Raw genomic sequence first — 18,462 nt, forward strand, 5'->3', positions numbered from 1 at the left:
CCCGGGTTTAAGCGATTCTCCTGCCTCATCCTCCCAAGTAGCTGGGACTACAGGCACCTGCCATCATGCCAGGCTAATTTTTGAATTTTTAGTAGAGAAGGGGTTTCACCATATTGGCCAGGCTGGTCTCGAACTCCTGACCTTGTGATCCACCCGCCTCGGCCTCCCAAAGTGCTGGGATTACAGGCCTGAGCCACCGCACCCGGCCAGCCTGTATCTGTTCTTTAAAGTTGTTTTGTTTTCCTTACTCTCATGTTCTTCTTGCTGCTTATTGTGCCTTGTTGCTGCCTGTTGTGCAATTTCTTCCCTCTTGTATTTTACTGAACTTCATCTGAAGAAGCCTTAGTAGCCAGATAAACAAGCTTGTTTGGGCTAAAAAATCAATTGCTGTGTGAGAGTTTGTTGGATTCTCTTCTGAGTAAAGGGTATGCGTTTTATTGTACGGACTTTGTATCACCTATTTTGGCTTTTCATCTAGGCCTTTTTTTTTTTTTTTTCTTTTTTCTTTTTAGCCTCCTGGTTCTAGATACAACTGATACTCTGATACAACCTGGGTAAATGTGGTCTTGAGTAGTAAATTATCTGTGAAGCTTCTCCGAACTTTGCCACATAAATGAGCCTGCTCTTATTGTGAAGTAAATCTTACTCTAATCTGTATGTGAGTCAGTGGGAAATATCTGAGCCTTCGGATGGCTTTTGTTAACTGAGATTAGTTCTCTAGATTTTAGTGATTTCGTTTTGAACACCATACAAGTATGTGGTCCTTGGTTTATTTGGTCACTTGTAATCTCTTTAAAATTTTATTTTAAATTAGGAAATATTTTAGAAATACAAGAAAGTCACACACTATGAGATTAAACAGATGTTAACGTTTTGCCCCATTTTCATCAGACTGTGCATGCTTTTTTTGGGGGGGGAATAAAATGTCACAGATATCACTAAAGCCCATTTCCATCTCGTCCCACCCTGCCTCTAGAAGTAACTTCTTTCTTCAGGTAGGTGCGTATTATTCCTTTTTATTCCTATGTATAGTTTAAAACTTTAATTGCATATTAGTAGCCACAAACATCACATACCAATATTCTGTGCCTTTTGCATTTTTACATTAATGGTAATTATTTTTGACCTTCTGCAAGTGGCTCTTTTCAATGTTTCTTGTTAGAAAACTTGGCTCAACTTGAGTTTACTAATTATCTGCTTCTTCTTGTCTTTAGCTATTATAGAACTGTTCCACCAAGGCAACAATTATTGCTATTTTAATGGTGAAATCAGTTTTATTAGGCAAATTGACTCAGGCTTCAGACTGGCATTTGGAATTGTCACACTGGAGATTTTCTTTTACTGAAATCTCAGGACATTGACAATCAGAAAAAAACCCTCTTGAGTCTTACTATCTTACATGTAAGATATGTTCCTGAGTGACTGTAGTAAAGACTCATTCAGGAAAATGTTATCTCCGATTTCTGCCTCCCTATCTCATAGGAAACTTCCATTGTAAAGTTGTTACCAGGCGTCAAGCTGCCTCTTTGGTACAGCCCTTACTTAGTATTTGGCTCAGTTGAAGTGCAGTCTATATAGGAGGCCAAGAAGACTTAATCCTGGGTTTGAAACAAAGCAAGGATACACTAACATTCTATCCTTTAATAACATCAAGTAGAAAAATTGAAAATGAGCTTGTTATCAGTGCACTTTTATATGCCAACCTTGTTTCACTTGTGTTTTAAACTGGGAAACTGAAGATTTTAATGCTGAAATTTCTTTGAATTATTACCTGTTTTTTTGATAGTGGAACACACAGCTAATATTTACTAACATGAAGGTGTCAAAGGTGGGAAATCATGTACTACACCATCAGGTCAGCACTACTGTTTGGAAGAGCAGCATCACAATGAGCAGTGTTATACTGCGTTGTAGTCAGCACATACACTTATGTCCAAACAGATATTTTAAATTACCTTCTTGGGGTAGTACACATGTGCTGATATCCAAAGTGCCATATAATACAATACATAGTTTTTAAACTTCATATCATTCTGATCAGAAGCTTTATAAACTGTTAGGTGAATGCTGTTAGATGATATGAGAGCACAATTTAACCTGTGTGTGTGTATGTGTATGTCTTAACATCTATTAAGTGATGACTACATATGAAGCACTAAGTGCTAAAACAGAGACTTTACATAGATTATCCCATTATTGGTCAACTTTTTAAATAAGTGCATCTCTAATATAAGACAAGATGCTGACCAATTTTTAAAATGTGAATGGATTTCTATTTTTAAGATAAGTACCTTTGTTCCTTTGGTTCCTCCCTCCCACCCTTCCAGAAATGGTAGTATCCTGGAAAAAAAAAATTAGTAACAATTCAAGAAACAGCTTAATTCATTAGTATAAATAGATGAGTTTCCCTTAAACACAGGAGGAGTTGGAAGGTACTTGTAATTGGATGTTGTGCATGGTGCCTTTCCAAAATGCACAAATACTTTCTCTCGAATGGTTGCAGTAGTAATGTGCTGTGTGATTTGGCATGTATAGTGTTGTACAGGTATCTTGACATTGGTGGATTAACTGCTTGGCTACTGTGAAATTCACTGTAGATGTTGATGGATGAAAGTGTGGTTGCCTAGATAATGATTAAGACCAGTAACTAAACCACAGTTATTATTTTGCTGGCATAAACTTCAAACTCAGAAAGGTTTTTATTCATTTCACCCATTGGAGCATACCCCAGTAAGTGCTTCATTTCTTTGTGTTTCTGATTTTTTTTTTTTTTTAAGATGGAGTCTTGCTTTTGTCGCCCAGGTTGGAGTGCAATGGCGCGATTTCGGCTCACTGCAACCTCCGCCTCCTGGGTTCAAGCGATTCTCCTGCCTCAGCCTCCCGAGTAGCTGGGATTACAGGCGCCTGCCACCACGCCCAGCTAATCTTTGTATTTTTAGTAGAGATGGGGTTTCACCATGTTAGCCAGGCTGGTCTCGAACCCCTGACCTCGTGATCCACCCACCTTGGCCTCCCAAAGTGCTGGGATTACAGGCATGAGCCGTCGTGCCCAGCCATGTTTCTGAATTTTTAAGTCAACTTCTGAATAGGCAAAGAATTCTTTTTGTTTTTTTGTTCAACTTTAGTGCTATAAATCGCCAGTTGGACACAAAGGTTTTAGTGCTATTTAGGTATGTTTTGGTGAAATAGTGTGAAGGAATATTGCTGCTTAAAAGATAAGCCATTCATTAAATGACATCTTTGTTTTGAAACATGAAGATTTATGAGAAGCATTTTTTTTGTGAGCCAAAGTAGTTTCACTTTATGTGTTAGAGATTTTGAATAGCTCATTATAGACTTTGTAATTTACTGTCTCTCATTTAGGCAGGTAATTTTAGTTGCCAGCTAATCATGTTTAAATATGTATTGGTTATTAATAAATGATTACCCATATACAGGTCTTTCATGCAGATATCGTACTACTCTGATGTTCTTACCTAGTTTTGTGGTATGTTCAGTTGTCTAAGAGCATTGTTGATCTGCACACAGATTTTGTTTGGTCTATACAGTGTTTCTGAAAACTTGAATTAGTTACCATTAATAAAAAACGGGAGACTGCGCATGAAATCTGAATTTGTAGCTTTTTTAAAAAAAATTGGAAGATCAGGCCAGGTGCGGTGGCTCATGCCTGTAATCCCAGCACTTTGGGAGGCCGAGGCGGGCAGATCACCTGAGGTCGGGAGTTTGAGACCAGCCTGACCAACATGGAGAAACCCCGTCTCTACTAGAAATACAAAATTTACCGGGCGTAGTGGCACATGCCTGTAATCCCAGCTACTAGGGAGGCTGAGGCAGGAAAATCGCTTGAACCTGGGAGGCGGAGGTTGCGGTGAGCCGAGATCACGCCATTGCACTCCAGCCTGGGCAACAAGAGCGAAGCTCCGTCTCAAAAAAAAAAAAAAAAAAAAAAAATTGGAAGATCTGTCAGCACTAAACCTGCCAGTCACCATAGTGATAATTCATTGGCTCCAAGAAATGGCTACCATCTCCTCCTTTTAAGGGGTTGTGCACAGCTTCCACATGGCTTGCTATACTTACCTGCCTCAGGAAGCATTTCTTTGTGATTTAGGGCATCTGTGTTTTTGTTATTTTAGATTTAGAACATTCAAATGTCTGGAAATGAATTTGAAGTTTTGTTTAAAACAACAAAATAAATGCATATAAGCAAGGTTATGACTAAATTGAAAAATGCACAAGAGGCCAGGCGTGGTGGCTCACGTCTGTAATCTCAGCACTTTGGGAGGCTGAGACGGGCGAATCACGAGGTCAGGAGTTTGAGACCAGCCTGACCAACAAGGTGAAACCCCATCTCTACTAAAAATACAAAAATTAGATGGGTGTGGTGGTGCACACCTGTAATCCCAGCTACTCAAGAGGCTGAGGCAGGAGAATCGCTTGAACCTAGGAGATGGAGGTTGCAGTGAGCCAAGATCGCAAGATCGCATCATTGGCACTCCATCCTGGGCGAGAGAGCGAGACTCCATCTCAAAAAAAAAAAAAAAAAAGAAAAATGCACAAGAGTGTTAAACAAGCAGTTCACAGTGGAAAAACTTAATGGCGCGCACACACACACACACGAGAAAAGATGCGTAGTAACCAATGTTATTAGTAATCAGGGAAATTCTGATTAAACCAATGGACTATCAGTAAAAAAATTTTTTTTTTTTTTAAATTTTTGAGACAAAGTTTTGCTCTTGTTGCCCAGGCTGGAGTGCAATGGCTCAGTCTAGCTCACTGCAACCTCCACTGCCTGGGTTCAAGTGATTCTCCTGCTTCAGCCTTCCAAGTAGCTGGGATTACAGGCGCGCACCACAGGCCTGGCTAATTTTTTTTTTTTTTTTTTTTTTTAGTAGAAATGGGGTTTCACCATGTTGGTCAGGCTGGTGTTGAACTCCTGACCTCAAGTGATCCACCCACCTCAGCCTCCCAGAGTGCTGGGATTACAGGCGTGAGCCACTGTGCCTGGCCAGGACTATCATTTAATACCCATTAGATTGTCAAAAATATTAAAGTTTTTCAGAACATGCTGAAAGTGGGATTTCTTCATTCTTTGCTCATGGGAATGTCAGTTGACACCACTCTAGAGGATAATTTGGCAGTTCTTGGTAAAGTTGAAGATTTATGTCCAACAATCCAGAAAGTCCACTATTAGGTTCCTTTCCATGGAAAAATTCTCTCATGTGTGCACAGGAAAACATGGACCAAGATGCTAGTTTGTTTGTTTGTTTGTTTGTTTATTTATTTATTTATTTTTGAGACAGAGTCTTGCTCTGTTGCTCAGGCTGGAGCGCAGTGGCACAATCTCCGCTCACTGCAAGCTCCGCCTCCCAGGTTCACATCATTCTCCTGCCTCAGCCTCCCGAGTAGCTGGGACTACAGGCACCTGCCACCATGCCCGGCTCATTTTTTGTATTTTTAGTAGAGACGGGGTTTCACCGTGTTAGCCAGGATGGTCTCGATCTCCTGACCTCATGATCCGCCTGCCTCGGCCTCCCAAAGTGCTGGGATTACAGGCGTGAGCCACCGTGCCCGGCCTTAATTTTTGTATTTTTAGTGGAGATGGGGTCTCTCTACTCTCTATGTCAGCCAGGCTGGTCTTGAATTCCTGGCCTCAAGTGATCTGCCTGCCTGACCCTCCAGAAGTGCTAGGATTACAGGTGTGAGCCACCACACTCGGCGGTAAGAGTTATTGTATAAAGTTTTGACATAATTTATAGTGTCAGCCTTCTTCCTCTATCCTCACAGAAGGCCTCATGGTGAGTTCGATGTGCAGGTTAAAATATATAATTATTGCAATATGTTGTAAGAAATGTTTCCTAATTAAGATTTTTATGAAATTAAACGTATTTATTTATTTATTTATTTATTTATTTATTTATTTATTTATTTATTTTGAGATAGAGTTTCACTCTGTTACCAGGCTGGAGTGTAGTGGCAGGATTTCAGCCCACTGCAATCTCTGCCTCCCGGGTTTAAGCAATTGTCGTGCCTCAGCCCCCTGAGTAGCTGGAATTATGGGCCTATGCCACCTTGCCTGGCTGATTTTTGTATTCTTTTTTTTTTTTTTTTTTTTGAGACGTAGGCTCACTCTGTCGCCCAGGCTGCAGTGCAATGGTGCGATCTCGGCCCATTGCAAGCTCACCTCCTGGGTTCAAGTGATTCTCCTGCCCCTGCATCGTGAGTAGCTGGGATTACAGGTGTGTGCCACCAGACCTGGCTAATTTTTAGTAGAGATGGGGTTACACCATGTTGGCCAGGCTGATCTCAAACTCCTGACCTCAAGTGATCCGCCTGCCTCGGCCTCCCAAGGTGCCAAGATTACAGGTGTGAGCCGATGCCCCCAGCCTATTTTTATTTTTTGAGACAGAGTCTCACTCTGTTGTTCAGGCCGGAGGTCAGTGATGTAATCATAGCTCACTGCAGCCTTGCTTGACCTCCTGGGCTTAAGGGATCCTCCTCCCTCAGCCTCTCCAGTAGTTAGGACTGTAGGTGGATACCATCACACCCACCTAATTAAAAAAATTTTTTTTGTCTCACTGTGTTGCCCAAGCTGGTCTTGAATTTTTGACCTCAAGTAATCCTCCTGCCTCAGCCTCCCAAAGTGTTGGGATTACAGGCATGAGCCACTGTGCCCAGCCCTTTAATAGTTTAAAGTCAAAGTTTAAGTAGAAAACATTATTTTATTTGGCTCATTGGTTAGATGTAAGTGATGTGAAATACTTAAACATCCATTATTGTTTTTAATATAATTTGGAAAATATGAGTTGCTTTGGATTATTAAAACTTCATTTATTTGTACCATTGATGCATAAATTCTCAGTCTAGGTTTTAGCGAAGTCTGGATTTTAAAAAATTGACTGTGATATTAGTTCAAGTCTTACGAACATCATTATTATTATTATTTGAGAGACACAGAGTCTTGCTCAGTTGCCCAGGATGGAGTGCAGCTGCACAATCACAGCTTATTGCAGCCTCAACCTCCTGGGCTCAAGCAGTCCTCCCACTTCAACCTCCCGAGTAGCTGGGACTATAGGCACACATCACAACTCCTGGCCAATTTTTGTATTTTTTGTAGAGATGGGGTTTCGCCATGTTTTCCAGGCTGGTCTCACTCCTGGGCTCAAGCGATCCTCTTTGCTTGGCCTCCCAAAGTGCTGGGATTACAGGTGTGTGCCAACACACCTGGCCAAGTTGTATATACTATTAATCTAGGCTATTTCTGACACTGTTGATTTTCCTTTTCCCCTTAGGTGAGGCAGGCGACTAATCAGATTGTGATGAATTGTGCTGATATTGATATTATTACAGCTTCATATGCACCAGAAGGAGATGAAGGTAAGAGCTGTTTTCCATTTTAATTTGCTGTCTGCATGTGCATATGTGGGGTGTGTGTGTGTGTGTGTGTGTGTGTGTGTGAGAGAGAGAGAGAGAGAGACATTTTCAGGTTAAGACTTCAATGTTTGTTACTTTAGAAATGGGTAAATTCAGCTGGGTGAAGTGGCTCACGCCTGTAATCGCAGCACTTTGGGAGGCTGAGGCGAGCAGATCCCTGAGCCCATGAGTTTGAGACCAGCCTGGGCCACGTGGCGAAACAAAAACAAACAAACAAACAGAAATATTAGCTAGGCATAGTGGTGCGTGCCTGTAGTCCCAGCTATTTGGGAGGCTGAGGTGGGAGGATCTATTGAGCCCAGGTGGCCGAGGCTGCAGTGAGCCATGATTGCGCCGCTGCACTCCAGCCTGTGCGACAGAGTGAGACCCTGACTCAAAAAAAGAAAAAGAAAAAGGGTAAAATGTTTATGGGAAATATTGAATAGTATAACCTAACAGTATTGTGAAATAAAGTAAATGTCACAATTTATTTTATTTTTAAATTTATTTTTATTTTTATTTTTTTTGAGACAGAGTCTTGCTCTGACACCCAGGCTGGAGTGCAGTGGCGTGATCTCAGCTCACTGCTATCTCTGCCTCGTGGGTTCAAGCAGTTCTCCCTGCCTCAGCCTCCTGAGTGGCTGAGATTACAGGTGTCCACCACCATACCTAGCTAATTTTTGTATTTTTAGTAGAGACAGGGTTTTGCTATATTGGCCAGGCTGGTCTTGAACTCCTGATCTCAGGTGATCTGCCTGCCTCCCAAAGTGCTGGGATTACAGATGTGAGCCACCACACCCGGCCAAATGTCACAATTTAAATTCTACTTCCAAGATTAACTTATTTTGTGATACTAGGGAAATCACATTTTCATAAGTATAAAATGAATATAATATGCATAATAAAGCTGATGAGTTATTTGAAAAATTAAGTACTTTGAACATGAAAGGCTCCTCAAAGAGGCTTCGTTTTTATGTTTTTCTTAAAGTTTTTTTTTCTTTTTGTACTGTAGTTTAAAATTGAGATAAGTCATACTCCTAATTCGGAGAAAAACATTTGCTTTATGAGACAATATGAAGATTAGAAGCTAAATAATGGAGTTAGTTACAGGGGAAGAACATGCTAAAAAGAAACATGGTATAGAATGTGGAACTCCATTAGTGTCTATAAAATGAGAACTGTTTTAGACCTTATAATTTTAGTATGAAAGTAGTCCATTTTGACTGGAAATCTTATTCCCGTATGAGCTGCTTTTTAAATAGACACCAAGTTTGGCATAAACTCTTACAAGTACATCAGTATTGGAGCTGGATTGCTTTTTACTTTTTTTTTTTTTTGAGAGAGTCTCGCTCTGTCACCCAGGCTGGGGGGCAGTGGCATGATCTCAACTACCACAACCTCTGTCTCCTGGTCTCAAGCCATCCTCCCACCTCACCCTCCCAAGTAGCTGATATTACAGGTGTGTACCACCATGCCTGGCTAATATTCGTATTTGTATTTTTTTATAGATATGGGGGGGTGGTCTTCCTATATTGCCCAGGCTGGTCTTGAACTCCTGGGCTCAAGGGATCTGACCTCTTCGGCCTTGCAGGTTGCTGGGATTACAGCAAGAGCCACCACACCTGGTTGCCTTTTTACTTTTGATTTCACCTAGACATTCCTTGTCAAAATGGTTATTGGTTACTCTGAGACTTCTTTAATATAAAATAATTTACGGCCGGGCGCGGTGGCTCACGCCTGTAATTCCAGCACTTTGGGAGGCCGAGGCGGGTGGATCACAAGGTCAGGAGATCGAGACCATCCTGGCTAACTCGGCGAAACCCCGTCTCTACTAAAAATACAAAAAATCAGCTGGGCGTGGTGGCGGGCGCCTGTGGTCCCAGCTACTCGGGAGGTTGAGGCAGGAGAATGGCGTGAACCCGGGAGGCAGAGCTTGCAGTGAGCCGAGATCGCGCCACTGCACTCCAGCCTGGGCGACAGAGCGAGACTCCGTCTCAAAAAAATAAATAAATAAATAAAATAAAATAATTTACACATTTGATCTTTTAACTTACATTTTATATTTTGATTTCCTCTCTCCTTTACATTATACTGAAAAGAAGTTTCATTTTAAGGCCTCATAACATTTATGATTTTTTCTTAAACTATTTTGTCTATAGAAAGTCAAAGTAGTAGCAGTTGAACATACTATTCCCAAGAAGTACTTAAGTTCAATTGATTGTAAATTAGATCAAACTGCTGGAAGAACAGATTCTTCAAATGGACTTGAGTGAGTGCCAGCTTTTAAAAAATTGTCTGGTAAATGAAAGAGTGATTATTTAATTTCTTTAACTGTGGAGAAAAATAGAAGTACTTTAGCCAGGTATATCAAAGCAACAAGGCTTTCTTTGTTGCAGGTAGAGAATGTTTAAATTCGATGTGTGGTTTTAAAGTGGTATGTAGATAGGTAGATCTAGTAATATAAATGTGTACCTTCCAGCTGGCATGGTTTCAGCTCAAGTTTGTTTTTTATCTTCCTGTACTAAAAATGTCAGGATAGAATTCAGGTGACTGAAAAGTTCTTTTTTTTTTTTTTTTTTTTTGAGATGGAGTCTCGCTCTGTCGCCAAACGATCTCGGCTTGCTGCAACCTCCGCCTCTGGGGTTCAAGCAATTCTTCTGCCTCAGCCTCCTGAGTAGCTGGGATTACAGGCGTGTGCCACCACACCCGGCTAATTTTTGTATTTTTAGTAGAGATGGGGTTTCACCATGTTTGTTAGGCTGGTCTTGAACTCCTGGCCTTGTGATCCACCCGCCTCAGCCTCCCAAAGTGTTGGGATTACAGGCGTGAGCCACTGCGCCCGACCTGACTGAAAAGTTTTGAATATGCGTAACCGAATGTTGCTAAGCTCATAATGATCTGTATCTCACGGAAGCCCAGTTAGTGTTCTTACTAAGAGAGTCAGGAGAGAAATGAAAACTTAATGGAAAAGGAGATTTGAAGAGAGATTCTGATAAAACGTTAAATTATTTTAGATACATAATATATATTCAATGCTGGGTGCAGTGGCTCATGCCTGTAATCCCAGCACTTTGGGAGGCTGTGGCGGGTGGATCATGACGTCAGAAGTTCAAGACCAGCCTAGCGAAGATGGTGAAACCCCATCTCTACTAAAAATAAAAAAATTAGCTGGGTGTGGTGGCGGGTGCCTGTAATCCCAGCTACTCGGGAGGCTGAGGCAGAGAATTGCTTGAACCCGGGAGGCAGAGGTTGCAGTGAGCCAGGATCGTGCCACTGCACGCCAGCCTGGGTGACAGAGACTCTGTCTCAAAAAAAAAATATTTTCCTTCAGAACTAGCTAAGGTACATTTCTCAACACTTTTCTACCACAGCAACGGGAAAAAACCTGAAGTCATGTGTAAGCCCACGTAATTTTAGAGTTTAAGAGAATGGGAAGTTGTATGAGTTGTTAAAGTTTGAACTGGGGGCAGCCAGGTGTGGTGGCTCACACCTGTAATCCCAGCATTTTGGGAGGGCTAGGTGGGCGGATCACCTGTGGTCAGGAGTTTGAGAACAGCCTGGCCAACATGGTGAAACACCATCTCTACTAAAAACACAAAAATTAGCTGGGCGTGGTGGCAGGCACCTGTAATTCCAGCTACTTGGGAGGCTGAAGGCAGGAGAATCGCCTGAACCCAGGAGGCGGAAGTTGCAGTGAGTGGAGATTGTGCCACTGCACTCCAGCCTGGGCGACAGAGCAAGACTCTGTCTCAAAAAAAAAAAAAAAAAAAAAAGTTTGGATTGGGAACAGGGATAGATTTGGCCTTCCACATGTATGTGTATATATATATATAATTTAAAAAAAGAAGGTAAAAGTAAAATCAGAAAATTACTCTCAAGGCATGAAATTGTTGCTTCTTTTAATTTTTTTTTTTTTTCTTTTTGAGATGGAGTCTCGCTCTGTCACCCAGGCTGGAGTGCAGTGGCGCAGTCTCGGCTCACTGCAAGCTCTGCCTCCCGGGTTCACGCCATTCTCCTGCCTCAGCCTCCCCAGCATCTGGGGCTATAGGCGCACGCTGCCACGCCCAGCTAATTTTTGTATTTTTAGTAGAGACGAGGTTTTACCGTATTAGCCAGGATGGTCTCTATCTCCTGACCTTGTGATCTGCCCGCCTTGGCCTCCCGAAGTGCTGGGATTAAAGGTGTGAGCCACCGTGCCTAGCCAATTGTTACTTCTTTGTGTAAGTTTTTATTTGAAGAAAAAGGCCATTTTTTTGTGATATGTGCAGTCATCCTTGAAAGACCTATGGGCATGTGTGTGTTTTTTTTTTTTTTTTGAGATGGAGTCTTGCTGTATCGCCCAGGCTGGAGTACAGTGGCGCAATGTCGGCTCACTGCAACTAGTAGAACTTACTTTTTTTTTTTTTGTTTTAAAGAACTTGTTTTAAAATAATCCTTAATAGGCTTTTATTAACGCTGTTTGGATATTAGTTATGTACCCTTTTCTCTTTGCAATAATGAAAGATCATTTCAAGTAGAAATTAAAGGTTTGTTTCTCATCCCTTTCTTTAGATATAGTAACAGTTATACCAGATATATATATATGTATATATATATATATAATTTTTTTTTTTTTTTGAGACAGTTTCACTCTTGTTGCCCAGGCTGCAGTGCGATGGCATGATCTTGCTCACTGCAACCTCTGCCTCCCAGGTTCAAGCAATTCTCCTGCCTCAGCCTCCCGAGTAGCTGGGATCACAGGTGTGCACCACCACACCCAGCTAATTTTTGTATTTTTAGTAGAGACAGGGTTTCACCATGTTGGCCAGCCTGGTCTCGAACTCGAGACCTCAGGTGATCCACCTACCTCGGCCTCCCAAAGTGCTGGGATTACCAGGCATGAGCCACCACGCCCGGCCCAGTTATACCAGATATAAGCAAATTTGCTAGTAGTTTAGATTTCTGGAATTGTGCCAACTACACATCAAGAGACTATTTAGCTTTGTTACAGAAGTCAGTATCAGTTTCTTGTTATAAGACAAGACCTGGTTTTACAGACTTTTCTATTTCTCAATGGAACTTTACTCTGAAGATATACTCTTCCATTTAAATACTAGTTCCAAAACCTACATTATATGGTGGCTGCTTAATAAACATTTAACATTTTGGTGAATTTAAATCTTGTTGATGTGTATACATGAATAACTGGGCTAAAAGCAGATACCTTTGATTATTGTGAAACTTCAAGTAAATATTGTGTGAAAAGGACCCCTTCTGTCTCACAAATTCTGGCCCCTCAGCTCATTGTCTGAACAGTGATTCCCTTGCATATAATAAATTCTCTTGGCTTATATATAATAATAAATGAAGTTTATTATTTATTTGAACTTTTTACCCCTGTAAATACCAAGGTTCTTTTTGCCTAAGTGGTAATTTGTGTCATTCAAAGAGTTTTTATTAAATATTATTATTATTATTTGAGATAGAGTCTCACTCTTATTGCCCAGGCTGGAGTGCAGTGGCACTATCTCGGCTCACTACAGCCTCCGTCTCCTGGGTTGAAGCGATTCTTGTGCCTCAGCCTCCCAAGTCGCTGGGATTACAGGTGTGTGCCACCAAACCTGGCTAATTTTTAAATTTTTGTAGAGATGGGGTTTCCCCATTTTGGCCAGGCTGCTCTCAAACTGTTGACACCCACCTTGGCCTCCCAAAGTGCTGGGATTACAGGTGTGAACCACTGCACCAGACCTTAAATACTCTGTTTAAGTGATAGTTTGATAAGTGTGAACGCAAGTCTGAAATAGGTTTCTTTGCTTGTGAGAAAGTATAACGAATTGCCAAGACAATAGTGACAAACAGAGGGCATATTTTTCAAAGAGGAAGAGTTTATATAGTGTTAACATTAAGACAAAAGTCTTAAGTTTCTAATTTCTGATCTTGTTTGTTGGGATTTCTTTCTTTTTTTTTTTTTTCTTTTTTTTTTGAGACAGGTCTTTCTCTGTCATCCAGGCTGGAATGCAGTGGCACAGTCGTGGCTTACTGCAGCCTCCTGGGCTCAAGTTACTCTCCCACCACAGCCTCCCGGAGAGCTGGGATGGCAGGCATGTGCCACCACACCTGGCTAATTTTTTAATTTTTGTAGAGATGGGGTTTTGCAATGTTCCCCAGGCTGGTCTCAGACTCCAAGACTCAAGCAGTCCTACCTCAGCTTCCCAAAGTGCTGGGATTACAGATATGAGCCACTGTGCTTGGCCCTTGTTTGGATTTCTATGCTTATCTGTGAAATATATTCTGGTTTCTATGCAGGATAGATCCATTCTCAAATAAACAACCCTTAAGTATCATTAGTTCAAACTGGAGCCAAATAAAGAAATGTCAGCATTAGAAGGAGCAAGTGATAGTTAGCCAGCCCCTTTATTCCTTTTTAGTGCAAATCAGAGATAAAGAACATGAAGTTTGCAGTGTATTTGCATTCTTTCACTTTTACATTTGTTGGTTTTGAGTAATATTGAGGGGCTGTCTGATAAAGAACCTGTGTAGGTTTCCATATGGCTATATACAAAGTATATGAGTGTAGAATAGTTTTAAATTTTGTCTTAGTTATATTTGGTAAGTTTTAAAACATTATTTAAATAGCCTTAAGGTGATATGGATTGCTTTAGTGACTGCTGTTTTAGGAATTTAGTTGGCTTATTGCTGACTATAGAGGGAACGTTTTATCTTCTTTTTAACCTCCAGTTCAGGTTAGGTGCCTAACCAAGTGAAACATTTTTCATAATGTAATGTTTAATAGTGATAATTATAAAAATAATGGTGAGTTTAGTGTTTACTCTATACCAGGCACTAAGTGCATTACATGTTCATATAGAGAACAACCGTAGGCACAGAGAGGGTATCTACTTTAGGTAATAAAACTGATAAATGTTAGAGCCAGGATTCAAACCCAGGCGGTTTGGATCTAGGGTCCATGTACTTGCCACTCTATTGCCTGTCATTAATATAACCGCACCATATTGCAATTATTTGTTTGTGTCATGTCTGTACTACTTTTCAATGGAATCTTAAGATCCTTGAGGGGCTGGGCACTGTAGCTCATGGCTGTAATCCCAGCACTTTGGGAGGCCGAGGCGGGCGGCTCACCTAAGGTCAGGAGTTCAAGACCAGCCTGGCCAACATGGTGAAACCTCGTCTCTACTAAAAAAAAAAGTACAAAAATTAGCTGGGTGTGGTGGTAGGCGCCTGTAATCCTAGCTACTCGGGAGGCTGAGGTGGGAGAATTGCTTGAACCTGGGAGGCAGAGGTTGCAGTGAGCCAAGATCACGCCATTGCACTCCAGCCTGGGGGACAAGAGACTTCTACTCAAAAAAAAAAAAAAGATCCAGTAATTATGATTCATTCTTTTTCATTTGTGGTTTTCCCTGGTATCTGACATATAGTAGGGATTTAATAAATATACATTGAATGAAACGAAGAAAATCTAGATAAATGGAGTAAGTCTGTCATATGGTAGTTACAGTAGTTCCTCCTTATCTATGGCAGATGTGTTCTAAGACCCCCAATGGTATGCCTGAAACCACAGATAGTAGCAAAACTTATATATGCTATGTTTTTCCCTATACATATGTACTATGATAAAGTTTAATTTTTACATTTGAAATAGTAAGAAATTAACAAAAGCTAATAAAAAATAGAACCATTATAACAATATACTGTAATAAAAGTTACATGAATGTTGTGTGCGTCTCTCTCTCTTTTTTTTTTTTTTGAGACGTTGCTCTGTCGCCCAGGCTGGAGTGCAATGGTGCAATCTCAGCTCACTGCAACCTCTGCCTCCCAGGTTCAAGCGATTCTCCTGCCCTAGCCTCCTGAGTAGCTGGGACTACAGGCGCATGCCACCACACCTGGCTAATTTTTTGTGTTTTTAGTAGAGACGGGGTTTCATCGTGTTAGCCAGGATGGTCTCCATCTTCTGACCTCGTGATCTGCCCGCCTCGGCCTCCCAAATTGCTGGGATTACAGGTGTGAGCCACAGTATCTTTTTTTTTTTTTGAGATGGAGTTTCACTCTTGTTGCCCAGGCTGGAGTGCGATGGTGTGATCTCGGCTCACTGCAACCGCTGCCTCCTGGGTTTAAGCAAGTCTCCTGCCTCAGCCTCCCAAGTAGCTGGGATTACAGGCATGCGCCACCACGCCTGGCTAATTTTGTATTTTTAGTAGGGACAGGGTTTCTCCATGTTGGTCAGGCTGGTCTCAAACTCCTGACCTCAGGTGATCTTCCCCCCTCAGCCTCGTAAAGTGTTGGGATTACAGGCATGAGCCACCGCGCCCAGCCAATATCTTCTTTTTAAAAAAAATTATTTCATTTATTTATTTTTAGAGGCAGAGTCTCTGTTGCCCAGGTTGGAGTGCAGTGGTGCCATCATATCTCACTGCAGCCTCAAACTGCTGGGCTCAAGTGATCCTCCTGCTTCAGCCTCCCAGTTAGCTAGGACTATAGGTGTGCACCAACACCCAGCAAATTTGTAAAAATTTTTTGTGAGTCAGGTCTGGCTTTATTGCTGAAGTTGGTCTTGAACTCCTGGCTTCAAGCGATCCTCCTGCCTCAGCCTCCCAAAGTGCCAGGATTACAGGCATGAGCCACTGTGCCCAGCCTCTCTTATAGTATCTTATTGTATTATACTCACCCTTCTTCTTTGACATTTCCAAACTGCTAGCATCACTACTCTTGTGCTTTGAGGCCATTATTAAGTACAATAAAGGTTACTTAAACACAAGCCTTGTGATACATTGACAGTCAATCTGATAACTGAGATGGCTACTAGGTGCCTAATGGGCTGGGTGGCATATATATACAGCATGGATAGGTCGGAGAAAGGGATGATTTATGTTCTGGGCAGAATGGAATGGGAGGGTACAAGATTTCATCACACTATTCAGAACAGTACAGTTTAAAACTTACGAATTCTTTGTTTCTGGAATTTTCCATTTAATATTTTCAGACCGTAGTTGACTCTAGGCAGTTGAAACTGTGGAAAGTGAAACTGCAGATAAGGGGGGACTTGTCAGGTCTGCATTTCTTCATGTGCTCTATCCTATTAACTTTATGGGTAACAAAATTATTTCGTATTTGAGATTATTTTGTTACCAGCTTTAACTTGTATTTTACTTCCCTTTAAGGACTACCATCAAGATACTTACTAATTGTAAAGATTCTTTACGGTATTTTAAATATTAAGAAAATGGAGAGCATAAAAAACTGCTGTAAATTATGTAGTTTTGCATTAAATGTAGAGAAAACACTGATTGCATAATGTTAGTAACATTGTAGTGTATGCTGTTCTTTTTTTTTTTTTTTTTGAGATGGAGTTTCGCTCTTATTGCCCAGGCTGGAGTGCAATGGCATGATTTTGGCTCGCCGTAACCTCAGCCTCCCGGGTTCAAGTGATTCTCCTGCCTCAGCCTCCTGAGTAGCTGGGATTACAGGCATGCACCACCACACCCGGCTAATTTTGTATTTTTAGTAGAGATGGAGTTTATCCATGTTGGTCAGGCTGGTCTCGAACCTCCGACCACAGGTGATCTGCCTGCCTCAGCCTCCCGCAGTGCTGGGATTACAGGCACAAGCCACCGCGCCCGGCCATGTATGCTGTTCTTAAGTGTGAAGCTGGAAGAGTTAGTTGTTCTCCAAATCAATGCTTCCTTACTTTTTTTCAAGGCATTAGTAGAAACTGATGTTTTCCTGGTACATAAGGAAGAGGAGGCTCACAACTGGAGGGTATCAGAGATCTTTCATTGCTCTAGGCCTACCAGGCTGGTCCAAGGGCCAAGGGAATTATTATCTTGATAAACCTGTAATCCATGTTTGGATCTGCCACAGTTAGGGAAGCTCTGCTATAGTTTCAAGTTAATAGAATTAGAAGGGAAGTTAGGTAGTAGTCAGGGCTCATTTTATTTATTTGTGCCTTCTGTTTTACTTTTTTTTTTTTTTTTTTTTTTGAAATAGAGTCTTGTGCTGGCGTGACCTTGGCTCACTACAACCTCTGCCTCCCGGGTTCAAGCAATTCTCTTTTTTTTTTTTTTTTTTTTTAATTCATCATTCTTGGGTGTTTCTTGCAGAGGGGGATTTGGCAGGGTCATAGGACAATAGAGGAGGGAAGGTCAGCAGATAAACAAGTGAACAAAGGTCTCTGGTTTTCCTAGGCAGAGGACCCTGCGGCCTTTTTTTTTTGCAGTGTTTGTGTCCCTGGGTACTTGAGATTAGGGAGTGGTGATGACTCTTAACGAGCATGCTACCTTCAAGCATCTGTTTAACAAAGCACATCTTGCACCACCCTTGATCCATTTAACCCTGAGTGGACACAGCACATGTTTCAGAGAGCACCGGGTTGGGGGTAAGGTCATAGATCAACAGCATCCCAAGGCAGAAGACTTTTTCTTAGTACAGAACAAAATGGAGTCTCCTATGTCTACTTCTTTCTACACAGACACAGCAACAATCTGATTTCTCTATCTTTTCCCCACATTTCCCCCTTTTCCATTCGACAAAACCGCCATCGTCATCATGGCCCGCTCTCAATGAGCTGTTGGGTACACCTCCCAGACGGGGTGGCGGCCGGGCAGAGGGGCTCCTCACTTCCCAGAAGGGGCGGCCGGGCAGAGGTGCCCCCCACCTCCCGGACGGGGCGGCTGGCCGGGTGGGGGCTGCCCCCCGCCTCCCTCCGGGACGGGGCGGCTCAAGCAATTCTCTTGCCTCTGCCTCCCAAGTAGCTGGGACTACAGATGTAGGCCACCACGCCCGGCTAATTTTTGTATTTTTAGTAGAGATGGGGTTTCCCCACGTTGGCCAGGCTGGTCTCCAACTCCTGACCTTGTGATCCACCTGCCGTGGTCTCCCAAAGTGCCGGGATTACAGGCATGAGCCACTGCACCCAGCCTGTTTTACTTTTTTCTTGATCCCAGATCTTTTTCAGTTTTCTTGCTTTTTTTCTCAAAGAACTAACCATTGCTTTGTAGACCTCAGTTGACTATTATTTCCTTATTAACTTCTGCTTCCTTTGGGTTTACTTTGCAAGGT

General features: G+C 41.9%; 1 protein-coding gene across 4 annotated transcripts in view; it reads left to right on the forward strand.

The window, feature by feature from the left end:
• NPEPPS (aminopeptidase puromycin sensitive) overlaps positions 1-18,462 on the forward strand; it is a 100,344-nt gene that overhangs the window by 15,687 nt on the left and 66,195 nt on the right. For all 4 annotated transcript variants that reach the window (NM_001330257.2, XM_017025373.1, NM_001411130.1 and 1 more), the window contains one exon: positions 7,290-7,374. In NM_001330257.2, coding sequence (NP_001317186.1) covers positions 7,290-7,374 — 85 coding nt within the window. The remainder of the gene's footprint in view (positions 1-7,289; positions 7,375-18,462) is intronic.

The sequence above is a fragment of the Homo sapiens genome, chromosome 17, assembly GCF_000001405.40.
Source record: "Homo sapiens chromosome 17, GRCh38.p14 Primary Assembly".
Classification (NCBI taxonomy): domain Eukaryota; kingdom Metazoa; phylum Chordata; class Mammalia; order Primates; family Hominidae; genus Homo; species Homo sapiens.